Source organism: Homo sapiens, chromosome 18 (genome assembly GCF_000001405.40).
Source record: "Homo sapiens chromosome 18, GRCh38.p14 Primary Assembly".
NCBI classification, from domain to species: Eukaryota; Metazoa; Chordata; class Mammalia; order Primates; family Hominidae; genus Homo; species Homo sapiens.
The window spans coordinates 43,262,241-43,290,196 of NC_000018.10; the positions used below are offsets into that span (position 1 = coordinate 43,262,241).

At 36.5% G+C, this 27,956-nt stretch overlaps 1 protein-coding gene across 1 annotated transcript; it reads right to left on the minus strand.

The window, feature by feature from the left end:
- Positions 1 to 5,651: 5,651 nt before the first annotated feature.
- Positions 5,652 to 15,250, minus strand: SYT4 (synaptotagmin 4). The gene is made up of 4 exons (NM_020783.4): positions 15,008 to 15,250; positions 11,340 to 12,154; positions 9,472 to 9,592; positions 5,652 to 8,408 (listed from the first exon to the last, which is right to left on the minus strand). Exons 1-4 carry the CDS (start codon positions 15,039 to 15,041, stop codon positions 8,101 to 8,103), a joined length of 1,278 nt encoding a protein of 425 aa, NP_065834.1. The 5' UTR covers positions 15,042 to 15,250; the 3' UTR covers positions 5,652 to 8,100.
- Between the last annotated feature and the right edge of the window lie 12,706 nt (positions 15,251 to 27,956).

The window sequence follows — 27,956 nt, forward strand, 5'->3', positions numbered from 1 at the left end:
CCTTGAGCACTGGTTTGTAGTTCTCCTTGAAGAGGTCCTTCACATCCCTTGTAAGTAGTATTCCTAGGTATTTTTATTCTCCTTGTAGCAATTGTGAATGGGAGTTTACTCATGATTTGGCTCTCTATTATTGGGGTATAGGAATGCTTGTGATTTTTGCACATTGATTTTGTATCCTGAGAATTTGCTGAAATTGCTTATCAGCTGAAGGAGATTTTGGGTTGAGACGATGGGGTTTTCCAAATATACAATCATGTCATCTGCAAACAGAGACAATTTGACTTCCTCTTTTCCTATTTGAATACCCTTTATTTCTTTCTCTTGCCTGATTGCCCTGGTCAGAACTTCCAATACTACGTCAAATAGGAGTGGTGAGAGAGGTCATCCTTGTCTTGTGCCGGTTTTCAGAGGGAATGCTTCCAGCTTTTGCCCATTTAGTATGATATTGGCTGTGTGTTTGTCATAAATAGCTCTTATTATTTTGAGATACGTTCCATCAATACTTAGTTTATTGAGAATTTTTAGCATGAAGGGTGTTGAATTTTGTCAAAGGCCTTTTCTGCATCTATTGAGATAATCATGTGTTTTTTGTCATTGGTTCTCTTTATGTGATGGATTATGTTTATCGATTTGCATATGTTGAACCAACCTTGCATCCCAGGGATGAAGCCAACTTGATCATGGTGGATAAGCTTTTTGATGTGCTGCTGGATTTGGTTCCCTAGTATTTTATCGAGGATTTTTGCATCAATGTTCATCAGGGATATTGTCCTGAAATTTTCTTTTTTTGTTGTGTCTCTGCCAGGTTTTGGTATCAGGATGATGCTGCCCTCATAAAATGTTTCTTTTTTTTTCTATTGTTTGGAATAGTTTCAGAAGGAATGGTACCAGCTCCTCTTTGTACCTCTGGTAGAATTTGGCTGTGAATCCTTCTGGTCCTGGACATTTTCTGCCTGGTAGGCTGTTAATTACTGCCTCAAAGGAATTTACCATTTCTTCTGGATTTTCTGGTTTATTTGCAAAGAGGTGTTTATAGCATTCTCTGATGGTGGTTTGTATTTCTGTGGGATCAGTGGTGGTATCCCCTTTATCATTTTTATTGTGTCTATTTGATTCTTCTATCTTTTCTTGTTTATTAGTCTGGCTAGTTGTCTATCTATTTTGTTGATATTTTCAAAAAACCAGCTCCTGGATTCATTGATTTTTTGAAGGGTTTTTCATGTCTCTATCTCCTTCAGTTCTGCTCTGATCTTAGTTATTTCTTGTCTCCTGCTAGCTTTTGAATTTGTTTGTTCTTGCCTCTCTAGTTCTTTTAATTGTGATGTTACAGTGTCAATTTTAGATCTTTCCTGCTTTCTCTTGTGGGCATTTAGAGCAATAAATTTCCCTCTAAACACTGCTTTGGCTGTGTCCCACAGATTCTGGTACGTTGTGTCTTTGTTCTCATTAGTTTCAAAGAACATCTTTATTTATGCCTTAATTTCGTTATTTACCCAGTAGTCATTCAGGAGCAGGTTGTTCAGTTTCCATGTGGTTGTGCGGTTTTGAGTGAGTTTCTTAATCCTGAGTTCTAATTTGATCGTACTGTGGTCTGAGAGACTGTTTGTATGATTTCCTTTCTTTTGCCTTTGCTGAGGAGTGTTTTAGTTCCAATTATGTGGTCAATTTTAGAATAAGTGTGATAAGGTGCTGAGAAGAATGTATATTTTGTTGATTTGGGGTGAAGAGTTCTGTAGATGCCTATTAGGTCCGATTGGTTCAGAGCTGAGTTCAAGTCCTGAATATCCTTGTTAATTTTCTGTCTCATTGATCTGTCTAATATTGACAGGGGGTGTTCAAGTCTCCCACTATTATTGTGTGGGAGTCTAAGTCTCTTTTTAGGTCTCTAAGAACTTGCTTTATAAATCTGGGTGCTCCTGTATTAGGTTCATAGATATTTAGGATAGTTAACTCTTCTTGTTGCATCGATCCCTTTACCATTATGTAATGCCCTTCTTTGTCTTTTTTGATTCTTGTTGGTTTATAGTCTGTTTTATCAGAGACTAGGACACTGCTCTTCTCGAGCAGTATCTTCGTGGTGTTCTCTGTATATCCTGAATTTGAATGTTGACCTGTCTTGCTAGGTTGGTGAAGTTCCTCTAGATAATATCCTGAAGAGTGTTTTCCAACTTGGTTCCATTATCCCCATCACTTTGACGTACACCAATCAAATGTAAATTTGGTCTTTTCACATAGTCCCATATTTCATGGAGGCTTTGTTCATTCCTTTTCATTTTATTTCTCTCATCTTTTCTTTCTGCTTTATTTCATTATCTTCAATCTCTGATATCCTTTCTTCCTCTTGATAGATTTGGCTATTGATATTTGTGTATGCTTCACAAAGTTCTCGTACTGTGTTTTTCAGCTCCATCAGGTCATTTATGTTCTTCTCTAAACTGGTTATTCTAGTTAGCAATTCGTCTAACCTTTTTGCAAGGTTCTGAGCTTCCTTGCATTGGATTAGAGCATGCTCCTTTAGCTCGGAGGAGTTTGTTATTGCCCACCTTCGGAAGCCTATTTCTGTCAATTTGTCAAACTCATTCTCCATCCTGTTTTGTTCCCTTGCTGGCGAGGAATTGTGATCCTTTGGAGGAGAAGAGGCATTCTAGTTTTTGGAATTTTCAGCCTTGTTGCACTGGTTTCTCCCCATCTTCGTGGATTTATCTACCTTTGGCTTTTGATGATGATGACCTTTAGATGGGGTCTCTGAGAGGATGTCCTTTTTGTTGATGTTGATACTATTCCTTTCTGTTTGTTAGTATTCCTTCTAACAGTCAGGTTCCTCTGCTGCGGTCTGTTGGAGTTTCCTGGAGGTCCACTCCAGACCCTTTTCGCCTGGATATCACCAGTGGAGGCTGCAGAACAGCAAAGACTGCTGCCTGTTCCTTCCTCTGGAAGCTTCATCCCAGAGAGGCACCCGCCAGATGCCAGCCAGAGCTCTCCTGCATGAGGTGTCTCTCGGCCCCTACTCAGAGTTGTCTCCCAGTCAGGATAAATGGGTGTCAGGGACCCACTTGAGGAGGCAGTCTGACCCTTAACAGAGCTTGAACGCTGTGCTGGGAGATCCGCTGTTCTCTTTAGAGCTGTCAGGCAAGGACGTTTAAGTCTGCTGAAGCTGTGCCCACAACAGCCCTTTCCCCCAGGTGCTCTGTCCCAGGGAGATGGGGGTTTTATCTATAAGCTCCTGACGGGGGCTGCTGCCTTTTTTTCCTCAGAGATGCCTTGCCCAGAGAGGAGGAATCTAGAGAGGCAGCAGGGCCACAGTGGCCTTGCTGAGCTGCAGTGGGCTCCAGCCACTTTGAACTTCCCTGAGGCTTTGTTTACACTGCGAGGGTAAAACTACCTACACAAGCTTCAGCAATGGCAGACTCCCCCTCCCCCCCGCCACCTAAACTTGAGCATCCCAGGTCAACCACAGACAGCTGTGCTGGCAGTGAGAATTTCAAGCCAGTGGATCTTAGCTTGCTGGGCTCTGAGGGGGTGGGACTCACTGAGCCAGACTACTTGTCCCCTTGGCTTCAGCCCCCTTTCCAGGGGAGTAAACAATTCTGTCTCGCTGGAATTCCAGGCACTACTGGGGTATGAAATAAAAATTCCTGAAGCCCCCATTTTTGTGCTTGAAACCCAGGGCCCTGGTGGTGTAGGCACTGGAGGGAATCTCCTGGTCTGTGGGTTTCAAAGACTGTGGGAACAGCATGGTATCTGGGCCCAGTGCACCGTTCCTCACTGCTTCCCTTGGGTAGGGGAGGGAATTTCCTGATTCCTTGCACTTCCTGGGTGAGGTGATGCCCCACCCTGCTTTGGCTCACCCTGCGTGGGCTGCACCCACTGTCCAACCAGTCCCAATGCAATGAACTGGGTACCTCAGTTGGAAATGCAGAAATCACCCACCTTCTGTGTTGATCTCACTGGGAGCTGGAGACTGGAGCTGTTCCTATTCGGCCATCTTGCCAGCAATCCTCTATTTAATCATTCTTAGGATAATGTACCTTAAGAACAAAAAGAACTGCTCTTAAAATATGTTATATAATATTATTAATTTTGGGGAATCATATTTTTGACAGTGATACTAGTATTGTTTTCTTTTTTTGGTTTGGTTATAGTTGACTTCTATTTCCCATTAAAAAGCTTTATTGAGGTTTAATTCATATATAATACACTGCACACAGTTAAAGCATACAGTTTGGTATACTTTGGTACTCGTATGGATATTTTGGTACTTGTATGTATCGAGGGGTCATTAACTTTTATTGCTGAGAAGTATTCCATTGTGTAAATAAACCACAATTTTCTTGTTCATTCACCTGTTGATGAACATTTGACTTGATTCCAGTTTTTTTACTATTAAAAATAAAGCTGCTATGAAAATGCAAGTCTTTGTATAAATGTATGCATTCATTTGTCTTAAGTAAATACTTAGGAGCAAAATGACTAAGTCATGTAATAGGCAAATTTTTAACTTCTTATGAAAATTACAACTTACTTCCCAAAGCAGTTGGACATGCTATATTCCTTTTAGCAGTGTACAAGGGGTCCATTTCCTCCATAACCTTGTCAACCCTCGACATTTTCAAAACTTTAATTTGTGTTACTATAATTGGCGTTCAGGGTATCTTATTGTGGTTTTAGTTAGCATTTCCCTAATGGCCAGTTTCCTTAGAAAATCTCCTCCACATCTCTAGTTGCTTTTGGCAGGTACATTTTCTTAAAATATACTTGAATTCTAAAATGTAATGTCTCTTTTAACATAACTATGTACACTCTTACTACAATTAATACAATTTGAAACAAAATAAATTAACAGTAAATTCCAGTTTTATTCCATTTGCAAGACTGTTTTTTTCAACATGTGATTACCATAGAATATTTCTGTAGAGACTAGAGCTGTGAAAAATGTCTGATTCTCCAGGTGGTGGGTCCTGTTGTTCCCATTTACCTTAGCAGGTGTGTAATGGTAATATAATATATTATAGATGTTCTGGTCTGTTTTTTCCTCCTTCTTTAAGAAAAAATAAGACATCCAGGTCCTCATCATTTTATTAATCAAATATTTCTCAGGATGTGAAAAAAAAGAAAAAGGAATATAAAAGCAGTGATATGAAATAGGTAATGAAAGATGTTAAAATAAGAAATGAGATAATGGAAAAAAATAGAAGAGTAAATAAAGAATGGTGGCTGAAAATACTGGGGAGAAAAGTAAATGAAACATAGAAAAGTGAATAAAATTTAGAAAAAAGTCAAAGAATGTGAGAATAAGCCTAAACATCTAGCAAAGCCAGTTGATGAGGTCCCCTTGAGGAGAGTGGAATGGTATGGAGGGAAGGGCAGGGCAGGCCATGAAATCCTCTTGAGTACTATTCCTTCCTACTTGATTCCATTGCCTATGCTCCTTGATCCTCAAGTTTTGCTTCTGTATAATAAGGTTAATGATATCTGCTCCAGGTGATTGTTATGAAGATTTTTTTAAAAGGTGTATTAAAGATTCTGATGCTCAGTAATTAATGGTCCCTAACCTATACAAGGAGATCCACTAGGGAAACTTGAAAATTCAGTCAGCAATAAGAGAAGCCTTATTACAGAGTCCATTGGCAGAAAGTCTGCATTGAAACGGGTTGGGCAAAAGCAGCAATTTATTCATGTCTTACAAACATGGTCTTACAAACATCATACAGAGCTGGCACAAAAGAACAGACACTGTCTCACACACCATGCTTCCTTCCAAAACACTTCTATTGAGTTACAACATCAGAACAAATCAATTACTGAGTTACACAGTTCTTCAAACATGTATACCTCCCCATTTGGGTGGTGAGATTGGCTAATCAGACAAACAATTAATTTACATGTTTAATACAGTGCAGGATTTGTAACAGGATTCAAGATATTCACATTGATATTGTAATACATTCTAAAACAGTACATTTTCAGAAATGATGAAATTAGGTATTAAGATCTCCCTGCCTGTTTCAATTCCTTTGTTGTTTCTTTTCTCTTTTCTGAAAACCAGTTGCAAATAGTTTTACTCAACTTTTCACACTCAAAAACACTTTAAATTTTAAAAGCTAAAAACTATTTACAAATTATCCATTTTAATTTTAAAAATGTTTGTTGTTGGTTTCATTGTTCCATGTTAAAAAAAAAAAAATCGGCCTCGTCCAACAACCATACCTCAGCTGCTACCACCATTAACTTCTGGCTGCCGTGAAGAATACTTAGAATTGGCCCCTTACAACTTTTCAGAGGTCCAACATATATTCTGTTCCACGGCCCATGATACCAAATGCACATACATAAAATGGCCATTTGACTTCCCCAAACTACACACCTACTACAGTTCATTTCATGTTGCTTTCACAGAGATGCCGAGTGGAGCAAGATGCTGTGAGGTGACTTTGTAGTGGAATGAAGACAATGATTGGGAAATATGCTTTTTTAATCCCAAAGTCATTTTAAAGCACAAAAAAGAGGTTGATTTTTAATCTTTGTACATACAGAATGTAATACATTTTCTTTACATTAGGCATAGTCATAAAAAGCATGTATAAGTTGTTTGGAAAATGCATTTTTCATAGAATTTACAAACACTGTGATATCAAACACATTCTCAAAAACTGCTAAAGTACTGACACAAAACCTGACTCAAAATGTAAATTTTTCAGTAGACTTAATTTCTAACTTGCATATTTAATAATTCAACTGTACTCAAGTTCCACTCATACTTCTCTAAGAACTCAAATATAGTGACATTACTCTCAAGCTAATTCTTTTCAAATAATCACAGGGTGCAGCTTTAATCTAACAGGTTCTGAATGAATTTCAGAACCCTGGCACTGGAAAATGATACAAGACACAAGTCTGTAAACTGCTCTATAGACAACAGCTCAAGACAAATTAGCCTAGAAAAGATAGTGAAACACATTCTTTGTTGTGCTAATTTGACAGCCTAAGCATATTTTGCGTGAACATATGTAAATTATATTAGAATTGCTCTTGAACGATTTTGTAGTCTTACATTTGTTTGTTGGTTAAGTAACACTTTTTATCTGGCAATGTAAAAAATCTTCACAGTCTTTTCAAGTAGCATCTTAATCTTTTCTGGGGGACAATAAATTAAATGAAGACTTAGGTGGCCATGCCGACTCTGGGTACAAACGATGGCCTTAAAAGTACACTTGCACACTATACCTATTTCCTATAAGAAAATTGCACTTCTAACTGGATTTCTAGTTGAAGTTTATTTCTTTATTCACTAACTAATTCAACAATTTCACAAAGGTACATAGGGATTTCTCAGGCCACACTGAGGCTTGTGACAGGCAGTGAATAATCCAAGGCCATGGTTCTTATGTGAGGTTATATTTTACAAAATTTTGACTCACATGTAACCTTAGGGGGGAGAAAAATTATATTTCAGCCACAGTGTTCTCAACTCAGCCCTTTGATAAAATAATTTCTCAGCTTGTTCACTGTCCTTTTGAAATGAATCTGAGTTACTCTTATGATAAAATTGCATCAAATAATTACAAACCAAACTGAAATGACCAGATACTTTTATATGCAGGACAACCATTTGCACATGACAGAATTAATAAATACAAACTGGAGGACATTTTTTTAGTATCTTTGGATTTAAAGAAAAATTGATTTCCCCAACCTGAAGATAAATGGATAAATTTTCACAAGGCAAGGCATACTTTTCGTTTTTAAATCTTAATCACATTAACTTTTTGTGACATGTTCCAATGAGATTGTCACATTTATAATTTGGGATTCTGGCACAGTATTCATAAAATGTCTGACTATTCCTAGTTATATCACTGGTAATCTGAAGGAGATATTGAATATCTTATGAAAATTTATCCAACTCTTCTAATAAATAGGGAAATTATCATAATACACATTTGAAGTTACTTTCTGGTCTACTAATTCAATCCATTTCTAGCAACAACAACAACAACAAAAAGGTAGCTTGATTTCCCAAGCTTGCAATCCAATATAGAAAGAAAGAAAATTTCTCCTTGCCTAGTAAAAACCTTTAAGTTCCAACTCACGGCTAGGATGCTAACCATCACAGAGCACGTGCCACTTGGCAATTTGTCTCCTGGGGTAGTCACAGATCTCTTTCCAGTGCTCTCCACCAGTTCCTTCTGCTGCTGCACCCAAGACTAACTGCCCGATTACCTCATTTCGGGACCCCCTTTCAGAATCCAAAACCAAAAATTCAACACTTATATCTTCAAGGCCCTCACAAGGAATATCAAAGACAAACAGCTCATTGAACACTGCATTGGGGGTGCATTTCTTCACATGAGTCTTCTTCTTGGAGATTCTCTTTTTGGCATGGTACAGGTTCACTTTGACATAGGGATCTGCAGTGGAACATAACAGGCATTACAATGGCATAACTGGGCTGGAGAGCTGATATCAAGATAACAGTGCCCTTAGAGATCATGGCATGCCAATGACATGTGGTTACCAGGAAAATAAGTCAAAACAACAGAAAAATATGGATAAAACTTGGCATTTCTCTTGTCAACAGAATTGAAAATAAGGAAGAATATGGAAAATAAGAGAAAAAAGTTCTAAATTAGAGAATAAGGGAAAAAATTAATGATAGGAAAAGAAGTAACACAAAAGGAAAGAAAATAGAATGTTCTATGGACCCATTCTGATTACTATTAACTTACTCCAGAGAATAGGATAGAAGGAAAAAAATATATTAGACAACATGTAGCTTTACTGACTTGTATGACTTTGGGTGAGTCTATTTCCCTGACTTTTGGCTGTGTTTTCCATCGAATGAGGATTTAGAGTCCACAATGGCAATATTCTTTTTAGTTTTAACTTTTATGAATTTCTTTAGTCACAGGCTGGATTTGCTTTCTGTTTCCTAGTGTTGAGCTTCTCTGTGTCATTGTTAGTATGTAGATTTTAAGTTCATGCTACTTTATCACAATTACTTTTGCCTTTTTCTGGTGGCACCATATGAGTTAATTTTAGCTTCACAATCTAATCTTTTAAGACCATGTTTTCAACTCCCATCATTAAATAATAATAATATTATTAGATGATATCTGAAGAAGTATGTATTTCTAGTTCTCACAAGGCCCCTCAGGATGAGTAGCATTATGTCCAGTTTGTACAGTTTAAGAAACATACCCAATCATATTTTGCTAGTGAATGGAAGGGTTAGGATTTGAACTCAGGTAATTTTAAACTGTAGCTTATTTTGTTTCTCATTGTGCTATACAACATAAAATTGGCGTTTTGTTTCATTTTTTGTAAAGCTAGTCATAAAACTAAAAGCTAACTTTTATAGCAGATACATAAGGTATTAGAGAAAAGATAGAAGAGTAAGAGTAGGTGGGCTCATTTGCAGTCAAATACATTCCAATCATACAGTGAATCTGAATATTTCAGAAGCATTCTTACCTGAAAGTCCGGACACATCAGATTTAGGCAGATGTCGAGCTTTTAAGACAACCACAGTTAGAGTGTTTGTGGTGGACTGATAGCAGAGAGAGATCAGTAACTCACCCCGTCCTGAAGACTTCTGCAGAAAGAGAAATGTGATATAAGTATTTCTATCTTTTTAACTTTGAAGTGTGTACTTTCATTAAAGTTTAAATAACATCGTCATTTAAATATAATCTTACTTATTTTTATTTTAATATTCTAAGGAATTGAAGAGTAACTAAAAGCTTTTGAGCAGTACCATCGCTGCTTGAAAAACCACTGCCTGCCATCTTGTGGTCTTGTTTGGTACTACAGGAAGTTAAAATTGGCAATAAATTGGCCACACCCATTACTTAGAAATGTTTAAAGGATATTTAAATTATATCCTACACAGGATTATTTTTGGCTTTTGGTTTTTAATAACATCTCTACTTTTCAAAGTTATTAATAGTAATAAAGCTTATCTAATTCTTTGCATGAGTATGTGTTGGGTCAAATGACTACACATACTCATGCAAAAAATTAGATAAGTTTGATTTGATTTCAAATTCTTTAGCACCGACATATTGAAATTTGAACTCAGACCCAGTGAGAATTATTCTGATCCCAACTACATTCCTGGCCCAGAGGGATAATGGAGTTAAAATTCTCTGCCTCTTTCACAACAGCAAGTTTCCATTTAAGCCAAGGAATGAATTGATCTTAAGCATTGGAGAGCATTGTTTTTGGACAGTGTCATAGCGTCCTTCTTTGCGTGCTACTTAGATTTCATTTGTACTTTAAAGACAATAGATAAGATATACAATAATTCAAAGTAAAAGTTTTGACTGAAAGTAACAATATATTAACTTGGTGTTTGTTTGCAACTGAGAGTGATGGCTGACACAAAACTAAAACTGCAATATATTTATACAAAAACTAATATGGGACAGCTGTATAAGTAGGCACTCTAAGGAGAATAAGAGTAGAAGAAAGATCCTTATTCCCACTGTATCACTTAACCAGCCGGGTGTCTCAAACAAGCTGTGGAATGTATCTGAACCTTGACCGTCATTAATTTCAATAGGAGAGGAGACAGTCAAAATGAGCTCTCAGGTTTTCAGCTCTGAAACACTATGTTGTTTAAAAAACACAAATTAGTATGTCTATTGATTTTTATAAATCATTGTATTATAGAGAGAAGTTATTCTGATATACCACTGTTGAAATCGAGTTTCAAATTTAAAGTGAAAATGGGGTTAAATTTGTTTCATTGATGTCTTACTATTTTCTAATAAACCCAGAACTACCAGAGTAGTGTAACTACAAAAATAGCGGGACTCATTTCCTACTATACAATTTAGAGATGAGCATTTATAATTGAAAATGACGTGATGCCTCTTCCTTGAAAGGCAATTCCATGGAAAGTCAATACAATTTCCAAATCTTCAGGAAGAATTGATTTAATTTTAAATTTCAATTTTAAATTCAATTATGTTGACCTTGAAATCTCTTTGTTAACTTGCTTATGAATAAGAAATATTCACCTGTATTTTAAAGTAGCAGTGTCTGTCAAAATATTTATGATAGAGATTAACAAAAGTATTTATATAGGTGATATCTAAATATCCATAAAGAATGCCTATTTATTTTACATCATTAAAACACTTTGAGTATTTCAGTTATGGATTAAATTTTATTTCATCTGTTCTATTCCCTTGATCTCCATTAGATTATAATTAATAATAATTAAACATGGTAAGGATGATATGTACAAGCTTATCATATTAATAAAAATTCCTTAGACACCAAAATGCTACATAAAAGATTGTTTATAAATACTTTAAGCACTGAAAATAAATTACCCTAACATTTCTCTTGATGATCTCTCTATTCATTAACATTTTTCCTTCAGATAATTCAATTCCCGAGAGAGGAATTAGAACTTCCCCAATGATATCATCTCTTGAAAACCTGTCAAAACTCAAAATTGTGAAGTGCAAGGCCAATTCTTGGATTTGGGTGTAGGGTATCCCATAGAATGTAAAGGTCTCATCAAAAGCTGGATCCAAGGTTTTTCTCAGCACTCTAGTTTTCACTTTATGCTTCTTCTCTGGGAGGATCGTCATTTTGATATATGGGTCAGAGGTCATCGACTGCTCATCCATGGCTGGCAAGCCACGGGCTTCCTTGATATTGACCACAAATGCTTTTCTCTCGAAGTTGTATTCTAAGGAGAAGAAGAGAGTTCCCAGCTTCTCTTGTTTCTCTTCTGAAGTAAGGGAAGTGCTGGACTTTAAACTCTCAGGGGAAACTGACTCTTTTTCCCCTTCTAAAAAGAGCTTCGGGGTTGCATTCTCCAGATCAGAAGGACTGCCAGGTTTGAGGTTGGTTTTGGGAAAATTGCCATTGAGATCTCTCTTTTCAAGATCCAGATGCAATGAATTCTTTGGCACAGCTGGCTTATTCTTTACTTCATTTTTATCATCTGCTCCAAACTTCTTTTTGCTATTTAGGTTTTCAGGGTAAATATCAACTCCCTTAAGCACATGCACAAACTTGTATGGAGGAGTCTTGTTAGACTTGGATGATTTTCTCTGACAGCAGATCCATGCAAAGAGAGAGACTGTGAAGACCAGGCCAAATGCACTGAAGATCCCCACCACTGTGGGGATTTCATCTGAAAAATCAAATGACCAATAATATACATTAAAGAAGCAGAGCTGGAGATATGAGCCTTTTGAAAAGCCTAATAGAGCTAGCAATTGCTATAGGTTGGATAGATTGAATTACTTTCCAACTGTTCTGGGTATGAGTTAAGTGTATATTTCACACTAACTTCGGGTACAAATACATCCCCACAGGAAAAACATAAAGTGTGCTAGAAATTCCTTCATTTCAGTGGTTTTTCATTAATGAAATAAAAAGATGAAAATGGTCCTGAATCAGATATGGGGGAATGCTTAATGACTCTGACCTATCTTTGTTTTCTCAGATAACATGAGACAGCTACAATATGATGGATCAGTACTAACTTCATTATTTTTTATTGTCATTTTGAGGCTTTCCAGAGCATCACTTTTTACTGGAATTCTAAGTAGTTCTTTACTCAGAATTCAAGCAGCAAACATTTAGGGACTCAGTGGTTCACTCAATTGTAGGAAATTGATTGTGAAATGATATTTGCCATTGCCACAAACTCATTAATAATTTTCATCCCAATTATGGAACAGTGGTAAAAGAAATATACATATATTAGAGAAAGTAAAACAAAAACAGAAGAGCAACAAGGTACCGATATTTTGTAACTTATAACACTATCATCCCTTTGTATGACAATCCCAAATTTCTCAGTCAAACACTGAATTATACAAAGTATAAATTAATTAAACTTAAATAAGATAAAAACAGAACAATGGTTATAAGTGAATCAGCATTCTTTAACATGTAATGAGAACAGTGAGATTTAGAGTTCAATTTTATCTATAACTGTCTCTTCCTCTAGCACATGGCATGGCAAATGATAATCAAACTGAAATTGTCATTATTTTCTTGAATGATGGCACATTAAATTACTGACATTAGGTAATATCAATTATGCATAAGGCTTATCCTATTTTATATGTAAGCATCTTTCTTGAACAAATGGTTAGTAACACTATGGAAGTAAAAGCAGTATTACTACATCTATACATAGTGAATCCATAGAGTCAATGCTTAATATCATCAAAGTGAAAATAACTAATGTAATATTATATACATTTAGTTCCATTGCAATATGCTTTTATCCTGAATAGTAAATAATAAAGTTATAAGTTCCAGCCCAGAAAGGGTTAAAACTTTTCTAAATAACCACAAGAAATCCAGTCTTTTGTTACTTCCCTTCCCCATCCCCCCAAATCTTCTGCCAATCTACTTCACAATTATAAAACTGAACTCAGAGAATGTAAGGTTAAGAAAAGACAAATGAAATAGAAGATAAAAAGGCCAATAAAATCGCAATAAAAATCCTGTATTTTAATGTACAGAAACTGAATCATGTAAAGATGAAATAAACCTTTGACTTCTCCAGGTGGAAAAAAGAAACAGTGACTACTACAGTATAAAGCAAGAGCTAAAGATAATCAGCTAAACTTGGTATCAGCTTTTCAGTTTTTCCTTCTATTCAAGTCTTTGTGAAAAAAAAATGCACCCACATTCCTGGACCATAATAACCCAAGGCCAGGGAGCAAAAGCAAAGTCATGAACTGAGAGAGTTCTTTAGCCAATGTAAAAACAATAAAAACAGTAGAAAATCATTTTTTAAAAGTAGACTGATAGTCCATGCTAGAACATATTTTCACTGGCACAGTCTCTAAAAATTCCTCCATATTAGAAAATCATTCAGGTTTCAAATGAAGAATTGGGAATAAATGTCATACCAAAATAAACCCAATAACCCAAATGGAAGGCTGGGAAAGAAATTCATTTATGAACATAATATCACAAATTGTCCCTATTGAATAGTTATGTCAAATGGCAAACATTTTCTATAACGTGGAAACACTTATCTACTCCCTATGTATTCTCTACTGATAAGGTCTTACAATCTTGAAAGTCAAGATCATAGTTATTTTACTCAGCTTAATAACAATTATCACACATCTGTAGATATCACTCCTCTTCACAACCTTCTATGAAATTTCATGATTTAAAAAATACGTGTAAGTAAAATTCTGACCTTTTTCCTTTGGAATATACTGAGATCTAAAAATAGTACTTTTTTACTCTATGAAGTACGTCTAATTTTATGTACTGAAACCAAAAACTTGGTGTGAGAAAAGGAAAACTGAACGGGAAAATTGGAGCCCTAATTCAAGTTTCCAGCAGCTTTTAGCTAATTGTGCAACCTATAATACTTCCCTCATCTCTCTGGGCTTTGGTTAGCTCAGCAGTGAAATGAAATGGGCTGAGCCAGTTCATTTTGAAACTCTCTTTAACCCTGCTACCATATGATTCTGTCTTTCACTAGCAACATATTTCAAGGATACAAGAAAAACATAGCAGAGAAAAACACCCATATGGTACGCCCTGTAATAAAATATACATTGCCAAACCCCAATAGACAAGTTGCTTTTTTTAACCAAGATCAAACCCCAATGTAACCAGAGATATATTTATCTTCTCCTAATAAAATATAGATTTACCTACAAATAAGAATCACCTACAAAATAGATGAAACCAACATGGGAAAAACAGACCCCTTTTTCTTTACTCAGTACATGCTGCAATTTACAGAAGTACCTGAAAATTTAAGAACTTCCTGAAGGTAAATTCTCCCTAACAGAAGACAGTTTCAGGGAGAGAGATACCAAGGAAGGGAGAGAAGCTGCAGAAATAAGCCACAATTGCCTGACTGCCATTCTCATTTTCCTTTTAAATTAACTACCTAGGAAATCTGTATTCAACAACCGGGCAAAAAATAAATGAATAAACAGTCCACCCCAGAGTATTCAAGGAATAACCGCAGTCATAAGTTCAGTAACTTGCTTACCAAATTCTTCCCGGCTGGTGGTGATCGGAGCCATTTTTTACTGCGTGTTCTGTCCGAGGTGCTGAAGGGAAAACTGCCTGGCTGGATTCACTTGCCTGGATCTCAAGCGCCGGCTTTCGGAGCGCTGAAAACAACAGCGCAGAGCCCAGGGCACCAGCTCCTGGAACAGGGAGGAGGCAAAGAGGGAGGTCCACTCGCCCTCGCACAGTGATTTGCCACCTCGGTTCCTGTTTTGGCTCTTCTGAGAAGCTCGTCTCCGAGACTCCAGACGTGGCTGGAACCCGAATTGACGCAATCCTGACGCTACAGGGCTGAAATCAGCACCTGCCCCCCTCCCCTCCTCCCTTCAAGCTTTCCTTCTTGCTTCCTCCCTCCTCTCTTGAGGATTCAACACATGCTCATCAATTATTTTAACTGTTGGACCACTAGAGATTAGCTTTGCTGTTTTGTGGGGGCTCAGAGGCTCACCGAGATAAGCCCCGAAACTGATCCCTGTCAGTTCCTAATATAAAATCTCCTGATCACCTAGATGAATAAAAATATGTTTCTGAGTTTTCAGAATAACGTAACTTACAGAGGAGAAGTTTCTGCTTCAAATTACTCTTTTTAACATGCAAAAACATGTTTTCTTGCTTTTTAATTTTTTTCTTTGACATGTTATACCTATGATACTTATTACATTTAGAAAAGATTCACTACAAATTGATGCATTTGATATAAGATAGTTTTCCCAGTATAATCCTTTATGTTCTAATAAATTATTAGTCTAAATATTTTGCTGGAACAGTTGATCTTTCCTGGTCTCTCAGCTCTCTTCCCTTTAATATCTGACATTTGACCAGTTAAAGCACTTAGGAACAGATGGGGATAATTCCTTGGATATTCAGAGTCACTCTCAGTTATGACTTTTGCAAATAATAAGGCGCTTCTGAAATGACATTTATGGTTAAAAGGCCTGACTTCTAGTACGTTTGTACAAAATAGTTTCCAAAATCAGGCCAACATCTAAAGTAACATTGGTAACATTGGTTATTTCAAAGGAAAGCATTCCTTTTTCTAAACTGATGATATTCTCGGAGGTGAAAAACTGTGAAAAATATGGTGTCGGATTCTGATTCATTGGAATCTGAAGAGTGTGCCTTTCTAAAACAAATGCTTAGCAATTTTTCAAAGGAAAGAAGTCAAGCTGTAACTCCAACTGTCAATTATTGCTCTGCAAAGAATTTCTTTGCTCTGGAGTTAATAAGGAAATGGCATTCAGTGTGTGCTGGGATGTGGGAGAAGGGATACAGGGTGAGTCTCAGAAAGCTACTGTGCAAGTGACAGGTCCCTGCACATTGGCTAGCAGCAGCCCAGAGCATCAGGGCTCTGTCTGGGGAGAAATTGGCTTCAGTTCTTTGCATCATGGAAAATTTTATAAACCAGTCTTTTTTCTTTGCTATTCTATTTGCTCCCACATACTTGGCATTGGAGTGTTCCTCTAACAGATTTTTTTAAACTTTATATCTTCATGCTTTGAAAACACACAAACTAATTTGCTGTATTTAATTTTTCTGCTGGCAGAGTCTGTGGTTGTGTCTTTATCATTTCACTTTATTCAGATTACCTATTTCCTTAATTATGCATGCATGCACCCTGTAGGGTTGTCCCTAGAAACAAATATCCATTAGGTTAAAGAATAAGTGGCATTTATTTGTGATGCATATCATAGGTGGACCAAATACATGGTGTGATGTTTACTAAAGTATATATTTTCTAGCTAAGTTATTGCTAACATATGTTTAAGCTCATTTGTTGTAAACATAAATACCTTATGTGTTTGTTCTATAAATTAGTATCTCATTAATTTTACCTTCAGATGGTATAATGTTGTTATCTGTAAACTGTACAGATTGTTTAAACTCTATTTCTACGGAACCCACCCCATCCTTTGCTGTCTGACATCTGAGGAAACATCGTGATAAGATTACCTCTTGCCCAGAGCTAATGCTATTGTGGACTAAGTAACTATTTCATTGCTTGCTTTATAAGCAAACTGAAAAGAACTGTTATTAATTAAAATGCCTGAAGTTTCCCTCATTTTCATTTGATGAATAACATTTTAGGTATTATTCAATCTCTTTAGACAAGCTTCTAGCAACACCAGATGAGGAGTGGGCAGTAGACAGACCCCACACAGAGAAAAACCTGTACGTTTTTATGATTGAGATTCACACCCTACCACATTACTGAATTATTCTTTTTAGATCCATCAAACAAGTAACCAATTTACTGACGTGCAAAATACCGCTCTAGCAGGGGAGACTTGGGAGGAGGAGTTGTTGCTAGGTAACCACTTTTTCACCACCCAAAACACACAGCCTCAAACAAGTTCTTGCTTTGGCAAACACAGACCATTCTGTGCAGGCGGCAGTATTTACTTCAGAATGATTTTTTCACTGTTAAAATGGTTCAACTTTCACATTACTTTCTTTTCCAATTGCAAATGTCTATACATAATTTGAGAAACAATTAATAGAACACTTGAATTTAGTTTTAAGAAATTCAGTTTAATCTGAAAGCTATTGATGACTAATTATATGTTTTTATTCTATTTTATAACGTAATTAAATTTAGTATATATTTTGATTTTTAAATTATTGTTTATGTTATTTATTAATTGTATAGTTCAGTCTATATTTTCTCTTTTCTTTGAAAAATATTATTGGTGAAAGTATTTAGAACCTCATGCTAAGAAAAATATAATTTCAAAAAGTTTTGAAAATGTTGCCATGATCTTCAGTAATCTTTAGTAATACCTACATTAGTAATAAAATATCACTTTACTAAAATATCATTTTACCTACTGGTATGTGGGTGGAGTAGACTGAAGTATCTGATGATGGGAAATGGATAATTGTTTCAATGTTCCATATTATTATATTATGAATGCTGACAATAATGCTAATGGAATAGATTTATATTACAAACACACCCAAGTAAAAATCTTGCAAGACAAATCCCTCTTCATTTGGTATCACAGAAATCCCTTTACTACATTTGTTTTTCTTCAACATATTCAGCATTTACTATGTGCATTTAATAGTTCATATATGACAGTGAAACCAAACCACCAAATAAATAAGTAAAGCTTATATTCTTCTTTTCTTTATTTTCTTTCAACACATATTAAACATGTATCACTAGATTTTTACTAAGTGAGTGATTTATATTTGTCAAAATGAGAAAAAATGATCTTTTTCTTCATGGAGCTTACAGACTATACAAGAAGTTGACAGCTTTTTTCTCTAGAACTAGACAAAGAAACTTATGAGATCATCGTTACATACATATTTATTTTGCCTTGTTCTTTCTACAAACTCCGGTCAGCACTATTCTACAGCCATCACACCTATCTTATTCAGTCTCTTCTTATTGACCTTTTCCCCCTCACTATGGATCCATTATGATTCTTACACAGATTGCATTTTTTCTTTCCCTGTATCTCTCTATAAATTCTTTATCCTTTAAGAATCAGTTGAAGTTTCATTTGTACTATGAAGTTTCTGACTTATCAGCACTCATGGATTTCTTCTGATTTAAATTCTTACAACACTATCTCTAGTGAAGTCTTTTAAGCCAGCTTGACATATCCTTGATCTACATACCAACAATCCCAAAAAGATAAACCAAAGGCCTTCACTAATGCTAACCCCAAATATTCCACAAGATTCTTAATTTTTTATCTTCTCTGCACTAATTTATTTTTAGGACTTCTATCTCCATTTTATTTTTACTTTTTAGGCCTGCCTTCACACTGCGGCCTTTGAATACACTTCTCAAATTCCTAAGTCTTGATATCTCAACAATAATTTGATCTAGAGCCATCCTAGAAGATTTTTCTCTTTCAGTTCATCTTGAATGTATTTCTTGCTAGCTCCTCTACCTCCTTTTCCAATCTATTCCTAAGTGAGACCTCTCTTAGCCTTCCATTATCACTAAAAAACTGGGATTGGGCAGAGCAGAAGTATACTAAATTATTCATTTCAGGTAATGGAGATGTAAAAAATGTTTTATTATTAGACAATATTTATTTTGAAAATATAAAGATAAACACTGGTAAAACTGGCATGGATTAAAGCTCAAAAATTACTGGATTATATATACTCTTACATAAAATAGACAGATATTAAAAAAACAGGAAGCAAGAGTAAGGTTAAAATGAATCATAAAAATGATACAAAAGAAAAACAAGCAGATAAATTGAGCAAAATCTAATCATCTAAGTAAGCATGGAAGATTGACAAATTCCAAGGTAAAAGATCTTACACTGAGTTAAAAAATAAAGTTTAACCATATGCTGCTCATAGTAAAAATACTTAAATAACAGAATGCACAATGATTTATTAAACATAGAGAAATGTAAAGGATTAAGTTAAAAAGTCAAGAATAAAACTTGCTAGGCTTTGTGGCACGCCTGTGATCCCAGTACTTTTGGAGGGCTGGGCATGCTGGCATGCCTGTGATCCCAGCATTTCGAGAGTCCGAGATAGGCAGATCGCTTGAGCCCAGGAGTTCTAGATTGGCCTGGGCAACGTGGCAAAACTCCATCTCTTCAAAAATTACAAAAAATATTTGGGTATGGTGGCATGCGCCTGTGGTCCCAGCTATTTGGGAGGTGAAGATGGGAGGAACATCTGAGCCCAAGTGGCCAAGGTCGCAGTGAGCCACGATCGCTTTCCTGCACTTCAGCCTTGGTGACAGAGTGAGACCCTGTCTCAGGGAAAAAAAACAGTCAACAATAAAACATCAAAAGAAATAAGATATACAGTTTTACTATGTGAAAGTATATACTGACAATAAAAAGGCAACCGTTTTTAAGGCTTATGCTCCAAATAGCTTACCATCAAATGCGTAAAGCAAAATTGTGAAAAATATTGATGAGAAATATACAGCAACATAACTGTTAATTGTAGACATTATTACTTCTTCCAACCACTTACAGACTATTTTAATTCCAGGCTTGGGCCTTTTATCTGGGATGACAAAGTCTTACTGTCATTCTGTAAAAATTCAAACTGTAAAATTCAAATTGTTTTCAAGGCATGAAAACTCTTAGAGAACAGAGATATTTCCTCAAATATTTATTAAACGATTACTAGGAATTCTAAGAAAAGTGAGAAGATATTAAAATATATGATATTTTATTAAAAGAAATGGACTTAAAAATCAAGAAACTATAATCTTCAATGATTATGTAGTAGAACACCATTGAAAGAAGTATAGATATATATGTGTGTGTGTGCGTGTGTGTGTATGTATCCAACAAACCAACAAACCAACAATCTCCTCACTAGCACATATAAATAACAGAGAAACTTTTACACAGGGCCAGGAGGGTCCATGGTCTGTAATATACATGGCAGCATTCTGATAGCTGGAAGTGGAAGGCAACCTATAAATGCCCGTTGCAACACGAATGATTAAATTGAGTTAGGATTCTGTAATTCTGAAGTTAAAAGCAACCGACTATATCTATATCTACATCTGTTTCTGTATCTATATCTATCTATATCTAAAATACATACATATTCCAACACACTTATATCTTATAAAATATTATGTTAGAGAATTAGAGTTATAGGAAAACACCACTTACGTTATAGTGGATTTTATTTATGTCAGACCTTCCAAAAATAATTAGAAAGCCATATGAAATGTGTTTGAAAAAGTTTGTATTACAGCATTTATGAATTGATGAGACAACTAAAGATTCTAGGGCCAAGATACAAGGGAAACTATAGAGAGGTGAACTGACAGTTTGCAAGTCACTTTTCCTCTCAGGAAATTATCTGATTCTTAAAAGAAAATTTAAAAAAACTGAGAAATCAGGAAAAGAAACAGAGCTAAAAAATAGAAATGCAAGCAGATATTTTACCGATCTCACAGGACTGAAGAAGCAATAATTAGAGTTAGGGAATGCCTAGAAAGCTAGGAAAGAAGGAGCTGGAATCCTCAAAAGGAAGAAGATACAGAAATTGTCACTGCCCTGAGTGATTTTTAGACTCCAGACATTTGCTCAATATTTCAACTTTCAGGTGAGAGGTTTAGAAGCTAAGCAGAAAGCCACTGAGAAACAAAATGATGGCTTCAGCTGCCTCATGGTGCTGAGGATATAAAATGTATGCCGTATTATCCATCAATGAAAAGAACTCTTGGCCGGGCGCGGTGGCTCACGCCTGTAATCCCAACACTTTCGGACGTCGAGGCGGACAGATCACGAAGTTGAGAGACCGAGACCATCCTGGCCAACATGGTGAAACCCCGTATCTATTAAAAATACAAAATTAGCTGGACATGGTGGCACGCTCCTGTAGTGCCAGTTACTCAGGTGGCTAAGGCAGCAGAATCGCTTGAACCCAGGAGGCGGAGGTTGGCAGTGAGCCGAGATCACACCACTGCACTCCACCCTGGTGACAGAGTGAGACTACATCAAAAAAAAAAAAAAAAAAAAAAAAAAAAAAAGAATTCTTAGTAATCTCCACAGGCTGTAGTTGGGACTACTGTAGAACTACACCAAGGAGAACAGATAAATCATCTGTAGAATGAACCCTATAGAAACATAATCCTGGCTCCATGTAGTTTAGTTCCTGAGTGGATAAATGTAATGCCATTCTACCAGGGGATATTCAAACTCAATCTGAAAAAGATAATATCACCCAGAGCTGCTACAAGTTTTTATACACAATGTCCAGCATACAGTTAAAAAAAAATAAGGAGAAAGTATGCAATAAAAATCGGTCAATAGAGTAATGACATGGACAACTGTCATTAATATTGATAAGAGATAATAAGATGAAGTTATTTACCAGATAATTAGAATTTAGAAAACTCAGACTAACATTCTAGACCTAGAAAATACAGTTTTGACTGAAATAAGAAGTAAATGGGCATAATGAACAGAGAGTTGAATAAAGTAATAGGATTGGTGAACCAGAAGAAAAGTCTATAGATAACATCCAGACTAAAATAGAGCACTAAAAGTGTGGAAAATTCAGAAGAGTTTAAGAGACATAATGAAACATGGTAAACAGTAGTAGCAGAAGTACAATTTGGCAACCCAGAAGTGAGGGAAAGAAAAAATGAAGTAGAAGCAATATTTGAAGAAAAAATAATGACAATGAAATTTCTCAACACAATGAAAAAGATCAACCTGTACATTCAAAAGACACTAAATACTCCAAGCAGGATTAAAAGAAAACCACATAAAGCCTCATAGTTAAATGACTAAGACCAAAAGGCAAAGAAAAACATCTTGAAAACAATTAGAGAATAAGATAATAACATTTAAAATGCAGCAAAAAGACTCATCCAACATCCCAATAGAGATGACAGATGTCTGAAGACAGTAGAATAGCAACTTTAAAATGCTAAAAGAATAACTGCCAATCTAAAATTTAATGACAGCAAAATCAAGGTGAAAGAAAGAACTTTCTAGAAAAGTGGAAACTTAGAAAATCCATTGATGGCAAATGTTGACTTATAAAGGGAAAGTGATCACAGACAAAACCCAAATGCAGAGCAAAACAAAGAACATGGAAAAGGGTAAAATACATCTAGGTATAAATGAATATTAATAATAAATATTCAGGGTGTGAGCTAACATATAGAGGAATTTCAAATGTATGGCCAACAATAATTTAAAGGGTAAAATGGAATGATTTCAGTTCCAATGTTTTAAAATCTGGGAAATGTTAAAAGTAATAACTTATAGTTGACTTGTAATCTCCAAGGTAGTTATAAACAACAGCAGGAAAAAATATAATTAAGAAGTGCCAAAAAGCTAATAAAAGTTAAAAGAAAAAAAGAATAGAAAAGAGAGAGAAATAAGTGGTTTAATAGAATATAAGTAACAATTTGGTGTGTATTAACCTAAAAATAACATTATATTAAGCAATTATTAAACATTCCTTTTAAAAAGAAAAAAAAGTTTGTCAGACTAGGCAAAAGATAAAAACCCAACTCACTAATTCTATACTGCTTATGAGAGACAAAATTTAAAAATGAGAAAACAACAAAGTGAAAAGAAAAATATCCTATCTATTGTACACCAACCGAAGGGTGGAATATGTATTATATATATTCATATATACATATACCATATATATAATATATATTCTGTTAACTTGGTACAAAAGTAATTGAAGTTTTTGACATTACATTTAACCACAAAAACCGCAATTACTTTTGCACCAATCTATATAATTATATATTCTGATATATGTGTGTGTAAGAAAAGTAGATTTTTAATTCAGACAAACTGGAATTAGAAAAAAATAACATTTTATCATAGCTATACAGGGTAGAGTGATAAATTTTTCACTATGTAAGGAAGATATAAAGCTTTTAAATTTGTATGTGCCCATTAATATAGCTTTAGAAGATATAAAGCCAAACATGGAAGAACTATATGAGAAATAAAAAAATCCACATCATAAAGAAAACTCACCCAAACTTTGTTATAACTGATACAAAAAGCAAGGAAAATCAGTACAGATATAGAATATTTAAATGAATTAATAAATTTGACCTAATTATCAACTACCATACAAGTTGATAATTATACAATAATAATCTTTACAAGAAAACATTGAACATGGATCACAGAAGAATCTCAATAGAAATTAGAGGAAAATAGAGGGGAGGAGCCAAGATGGCCGAATAGGAACAGCTCCGGTCTACAGCTCCCAGCCTGAGCAATGCAGAAGATGGGTGATTTCTGCATTTCCAACTGAGGTACCGGATTCATCTCACTGGGAAGTGCCAGACAGTAGGTACAGGACAGTGGGTGCAGCACAATGTGCGCGAGCCAAAGCAGGGTGAGGCATCGCCTCACCTGGGAAGCCCAAGGGGCCAGGGAATCCCCTTTCCTAGTCAAAGAAAGTGGTGACAGATGGCACCTGGAAAATCGGGTCACTCCCACCCTAATACTGCGCGGTTCCAATGCACTTAAAAAACGGCACACCACGGGATTATATCCTGCACATGGCTTGGAGGGTCCTATGCCCACGGAGTCTCGCTCACTGCTAGCACAGCAGTCCCAGATCAAACTGCAAGGTTGCAGCCAGGCTGGGGGAGGGGTGCCCGCCATTGCCGAGTTAGTTGTTTGATTAGGTAAACAAAGCAGCCAGGAAGCTCGAACTGGGTGGAGCCCACCACAGCTCAAGGAGGCCTGCCTGCCTCTGTAGCTCCACCTCTGGGGGCAGGGCACAGACAAACAAAAAGACAGCAGTAACTTCTGCAGACTTAAATGTCCCTCTCTGACAGCTTTGAAGAGAGTAGTGGTTCTCCCAGCACGCAGCTTGAGATCTGAGAACAGGCAGACTGCCTCCTCAAGTGGGTCCCTGACCCCTGAGTAGCCTAACTGGGAGGCACCTCCCAGTAGGGGAGGACTGACACCTCACATGGCTGGGTACTCCTCTGAGACAAAACTTCCAGAGGAACGATCAGACGGCAGCATTTGCGGTTCACCAAGATCCGCTGTTCTGCAGACACTGCTGCTGATACCCAGGCAAACAGGGTCTGGAGTGGACCTCTAGCAAACTCCAACAGACTTGCAGCTGAGGGTCCTGGCTGTTAGAAGGAAAACTAACAAACAGAAAGGACATCCACACCAAAAACCCATCTGTATGTCACCATCATCAAAGACCAAAGGTAGATACAACCACAAAATGGGAAAAAGACAGAGCAGAAAAACTGGAAACTCTAAAAATCAGAGTGCCTCTCCTCCTCCAAAGGAATGCAGCTCCTCACCAGCAATGGAACAAAGCTGGATGGAGAATGACTTTGATGAGTTCAGAGAAGAAGGCTTCAGACGATCAAACTACTCTGAGCTACAGGAGGAAATTCGAACCAACGGCAAAGAAGTTAAAAGCTTTGAAAAAAAATTAGACGAATGGATAACTAGAATAACCAATGCAGAGAAGTCCTTAAAGGACCTGATGGAGCTGAAAACCAAGGCTCGAGAGCTACATGATGAATGCACAAGCCTCAGTAGCTGATGTGATCAACTGGAAGAAAGGGTATCAGCGATGGAAGACGAAATGAATGAAATGAAGCGAGAAGACAAGTTTAGAGAAAAAAGAATAAAAAGAATGAACAAAGCCTCCAAGAAATATGGGACCATGTGAAAAGACCTAATCTACGTCTGATTGGTGTAACTGAAAGTGATGGGGAGAATGGAACCAAGTTGGAAAACACTCTGCAGGATATTATCCAGGAGAACTTCCCCAATCTAGCAAAGCAGGCCAACATTCAAATTCAGGAAATACAGTGAATGCCACGAAGATACTCCTCGAGAAGAGCAACTCCAAGACACATAATTGTCAGATTCACCAAAGTTGAAATGAAGGAAAAAATGTTAAGGGCAGCCAGAGAGAAAGGTCGGGTTACCCACAAAGGGAGGCCCATCAGACTAACAGCGGATCTCTCGGCAGAAACTCTACAAGCCAGAAAAGAGTGGGGACCAATATTCAACATTCTTAAAGAAAAGAATTTTCAACCCAGAATTTCATATCCAGCCAAACTAAGCTTCATAAGTGAAGGAGAAATAAAATACTTTACAGACAAGCAAATGCTGAGAGATTTTGTCACCACCAGGCCTGCCCTAAAAGAGCTCCTGAAGGAAGCACTAAACATGGAAAGGAACAACCGGTACCAGCCACTGCAAAAACATGCCAAATTGTAAAGACCATCAAGGCTAGGAAGAAACTGCATCAACTAACGAGCAAAATAAGCAGCTAACATCAAAATGGCAGGATTAAATTCACACATAACAATATTAACTTTAAATGTAAATGGGCTAAATGCTCCAAATAAAAGACACAGACTGGCAAATTGGATAAAGAGTCAAGACCCATCAGTGTGCTGTATTCAGGAAACCCATCTCACGTGCAGAGACACACATAGGCTCAAAATAAAGGGATGGAGGAAGATCTACCAAGCAAATGGAAAACAAAAAAAGGCAGGGGTTGCAATCCTAGTCTCTGATAAAACAGACTTTAAACCAACAAAGATCAAAAGAGACAAAGAAGGCCATTGTATAATGGTAAAGGGATCAATTCAACAAGAAGAGCTAACTCTCCTAAATATATATGCACCCAATACAGGAACACCCAGATTCATAAAGCAAGTCCTTAGTGACCTACAAAGAGACTTAGACTCCCACACAATAATAATGGGAGATTTTAACAACCCACTGTCAACATTAGACAGATGAATGAGACAGAAAGTTAACAAGGATACCCAGGAATTGAACTCAGCTCTGCACCAAGCAGACCTAATAGACATTTACAGAACTCTCCACCCTAAATCAACAGAATATACATTCTTTTCAGCACCACACCACACCTACTCCAAAACTGACCACATAGTTGGAAGTAAAGCACTCCTCAGCAAATGTAAAAGAACAGAAATTATAACAAACTGTCTCTCAGACCACAGTGCAATCAAACTAGAACTCAGGATTAAGAAACTCACTCAAAACTGCTCAACTACATGGAAACTGAACAACCTGCTCCTGAATGACTACTGGGTAAATAATGAAATGAAGGCAGAAATAAAGATGTTCTTTGAAAACAATGAGAACAAAGACACAACATACCAGAATCTCTGGGACACATTCAAAGCAGTGTGTAGAGGGAAATTTATATCACTAAATGCCCACAAGAGAAAGCAGGAAAGATCTAAAATTGACACCCTAACATCACAATTAAAAGAACTAGAAAAGCAAGAACAAACACATTCAAAAGCTAGCAGAAGGTCAGAAATAACTTAGATCAGAGCAGAACTGAAGGAAATAGAGACACAAAAAACCCTTCAAAAATTAATGAATCCAGGAGCTGGTTTTTTGAAAAGATCAACAAAATTGATAGACTGCTAGCAAGACTAATAAAGAAGAAAAGAGAGAAGAATCAAATAGATGTAATGAAAAATGATAAAGGGGATATCACCACCGATCCCACAGAAATACAAACTACCATCAGAGAATACTATAAACACCTCTATGCAAATAAACTAGAAAATCTAGAAGAAATGCATAAATTCCTCGACACATACATCCTCCCAAGACTAAACCAGGAAGAAGTTGAATCTCTGAATAGACCAATAACAGGCTCTGAAATTGAGGCAATAATCAATAGCTTACCAACCAAAAAAAGTCCAGGACCAGATGGATTCACAGCCGAATTCTACAAGAGGTACAAAGAGGAGATGGTACCATTTCTTCTGAAACTATTCCAGTCAATAGAAAAAGAGGGAATCCTCCCTAACTCACTTTATGAGGCCAGCATCATCTTGATACCAAAGCCGGGCAGAGACACAACCAAAAGAGATAATTTTAGACCAATATCCTTAATGAATATCGATGCAAAAATCCTCAATAAAATACTGGCAAACAGAATCCAGCAGCACATCAAAAAGCTTATCCACCATGATCAAGTGGGCTTCATCCCTGGGATGCAATGCTGGTTCAACATATGCAAATCAATAAATATAATCCAGCATATAAACAGAATCAAAGACAAAAACCACATGATTATCTCAATAGATGCCGAAAAGGCCTTTGACAAAATTCAACAACTCTTCATGCTAAAAACTCGCAATAAATTAGGTATTGGTGGGACGTATCTCAAAATAATAACAGCTATCTATGACAAACCCACAGCCAATATCATACTGAATGGGCAAAAACTGGAAGCATTCCCTTTGAAAATGGGCACAAGAGAGGGATGCCTTCTCTCACCACTCCTATTCAACATAGTGTTGGAAGTTCTGGCCAGGGCAATCAGGCAGGAGAAGGAAATAAAGGGTATTCAATTAGGAAAAGAAGAAGTCAAATTGTCCCTGTTTGCAGATGACATGATTGTATATCTAGAAAACCCCATTGTCTCAGCCCAAAATCTCCTCAAGC

Bases quoted from the DNA above. Each gene is read 5' to 3' on its own strand.
- SYT4 (NM_020783.4), bottom strand. From the start codon at position 15,041: ATGGCTCCGATCACCACCAGCCGGGAAGAATTTG. The intron at 12,155-15,007 runs GTAAGCAAGTTA...TTGATTTTTCAG, and splicing joins CACCAGCCGGGAAGAATTTG to ATGAAATCCCCACAGTGGTG. The intron at 8,409-9,471 runs GTAAGAATGCTT...GTTCCACTGCAG, and splicing joins TGATGTGTCCGGACTTTCAG to ATCCCTATGTCAAAGTGAAC.